Here is a 2,616-nt window from a genome sequence, read left to right as displayed (position 1 = left end):
AAAAGATGCACTCCTTCATGTCACATTCTATCTGATATATCTGCTGTGGGTACCCATAATTTATAGAATTATAAATTAGGGTGGGTGCAGTGGTTCACTCCTGTAATCCCAGCACATTGGGAGGCTGAGGTGGGCAAACCACCTGAGGTCAGGAGTTTGAGACCAGCCTGGTCAATGTACTGAAATCCCATCTCTACAAAAAATACAAAACTTAGCTGGGTGTGGTGGTGTGCACCTGTAGTCCCAGCTACTCGGGAGGCTAAGGCAGGAGAATCGCTTGAACCCAAGAGACAGAGGTTACAGTGAGCCAAGATCACACCATTGTACTCCAGCCTAGGCAACAGAGCGAGACTCCATCTCAAGGTTAAAAAAAAAAAAAAAAGAGACTTCTTAGTATGCCATCCAATGTTCTCAAAGATCAAACCCTGTCTTTCCTGTCCAATATCACATAAAATTCCTCAGGATAATCTAAATTAACTTCTACAAAGGAAGTGCCCCTTCTTGACGCTGTAGTGTAATTTCACTTTCCTATGTTTTTCCCATTTTTTATTCCTTTACTTTGCATTGTCCCCTGAGGGCAACTCTTTAATATTTAATAGGGTGGGCTTTGGAATCTAACAGATATGGATTCAAGGCTCCAATCTGTGGTTGTCTCACTGACTAGCTAAGCAACTCTAGACAAGTTTCCTCTGATATAAACTTAGGGTAGACTCTAATGTATGAGATGGTTTTGAATTATAAATCAGATTATGAGTAGAAAAAGTTAATGAATGATGCCTACCACCTAGTAATGCTTAAGAAAAGGAGGGGGGCGGCTATTAACACAATTAACAATTCAAAAGAAACCTTTCTTCTCACAATTGTTTATTTACTCAGCTTGCCAGGTAGGCCATATGTTCCCTGGTGGTAAGAACTCCTTCAAAATCTGCACTGTCTGGCATTTACTAGGCATTGAGTAAATGCGAGTGAAATGCATGTTTGTATGGATATTTAAAACCCAGTTTAAACTACATGAATTTTAACATATCTGAGAATCCCGCTCTGATCCCTCAGGCAGAATTAACAGCTCCTTCTTCTGGGAGCTGCTAATGCCACTATATGCCTCTTATTTCAATTTGCTTTCTTACATGTGGATTACATGCTATTTTCCAGTTATTTATATCCCACTTATTTAAACATCTCTCAATAAAATACTGGATACATTCTTGAAATACAACTTCTTCATCTTGTTAGCCAACCACTCTCTCCTTGAACTTAAAACTATCACTGAACTTAAAATCAGAGCCTGGGGCATGATAGGTGCTTACTTAATGCTTGCTAAGTTATGCTGAAAACCTCAAATCATCTTTCCCATTTGTAGTGAGTCAATAGCATCCTGTCTGTACTTGAAGAGCAAGGTAGGGTGGGGACAGGAAGGGGGAAAATTGCTGTGTATGTATTTAGGACACTCTGTCTCCACACCCCAGCACGGCTGAGCAGGGCTATCCTTGACTCCACAGGACAGCTGGACTCAACATGAGAGGAGAGCTTTCACTTTTGATCTTCAAGATAATATTTTTAAATATAAAGCAAAAAGAATTTGAGATAATGTGCATGCTGTCCTTTCAAACATGCCATATGGAATCTGAGGCCCTTGGGTTAAGAATTACAAGATACATTTACTAAATAAAGACAGCCAGGCTCCTGCAGAGCCAACAGGGAAGGACACAAATCATGGAACCACAGTAAAACTTATACTAGAAAAAAAAAAAACAGCAAGAATTAACCCAGGAGTCCCAGCCTCATGCCCTCAGCAGGTCAAATCATACTAACTTCCACTTCCATTTCATTTCCTGCACTATCACTAAATATTAATGGTCCCCAGATCCCTAATGAATCAGGTGTGTAGAAGATAGTATCCCTATTTGAAAAAGTAGCATTCTTATTTGAACCAGCACTTGTGATTTTCAGTACTGACCATTCATGCCTGTACAGGTAGCCAGCTAAGGTAAAGGTTTAGCAAGGTTATTCCAGGTCCTAGTGGAGGATGCTCACCACAGGCTAGCTATGGCGAATTAGGACAATTAAAACACACACACACACACACACACACACACACACACACACACACACACACCCTGTATTCCATTTTGCCTGGGTGGGTCAGTGGGTCTGGGGTTGTAATCATCATCCCAATGAGTCTTCTGTAAGTTCTTTCAGGTTCAGGCTGAATTCAGTTGCTATGTCAATACATTCTCCCCAAACTTTCCACCTACGGTCACCTCCCTGAACACCAAACCTGGTTCTTCTGTACAAATTCTTATCTAGAACTGAGCCACCAAAATGGATTGTTTTATGATATAAAGAAAAGCAATTAGGACAAGACTCTAAGATGTCTGGATAATGAGAACTCTCCTCAAGAATCTGTTTGTAGAGTATAATTCTCAACACTTTTCATAAGGATAATGAAATTGGAAAGCATGCTGGAAGAGAAAACTTCAGGGTCTCACAAATCCCAAGTGCCTAGAAAAGTCTATGATAAAACATACTATGTAGATCATGTGTATGTGTTTGGGAAGAGGCATGGTTAGCTCAGACATATCACCTCGGTTTTACATTTAAGATGGTGTTGAAGTG

At 40.3% G+C, this 2,616-nt stretch overlaps 2 annotated features.

Moving 5' to 3' along the window:
• Positions 507-1,198: an enhancer, noted in NCBI's record as "OCT4-NANOG hESC enhancer chr17:54047308-54047999 (GRCh37/hg19 assembly coordinates)". NCBI's record gives its function as "activates a minimal SCP1, AML or CMV promoter by ChIP-STARR-seq in naive H9 embryonic stem cells {active_cell/tissue: H9 hESC(naive)}" and the evidence as "EXISTENCE:reporter gene assay evidence [ECO:0000049][PMID:30033119]".
• Positions 1,295-1,479: a silencer, noted in NCBI's record as "fragment chr17:54047027-54047211 (GRCh37/hg19 assembly coordinates)". NCBI's record gives its function as "represses an EF-1alpha promoter that drives an FKBP-Casp9 reporter gene in an ReSE screen in HepG2 liver carcinoma cells {active_cell/tissue: HepG2}" and the evidence as "EXISTENCE:reporter gene assay evidence [ECO:0000049][PMID:32094911]".

The sequence above is a fragment of the Homo sapiens genome, chromosome 17 (genome assembly GCF_000001405.40).
Source record: "Homo sapiens chromosome 17, GRCh38.p14 Primary Assembly".
Lineage (NCBI taxonomy): Eukaryota > Metazoa > Chordata > Mammalia > Primates > Hominidae > Homo > Homo sapiens.
This window is presented reverse-complemented; position numbering and strand designations above follow the sequence as displayed.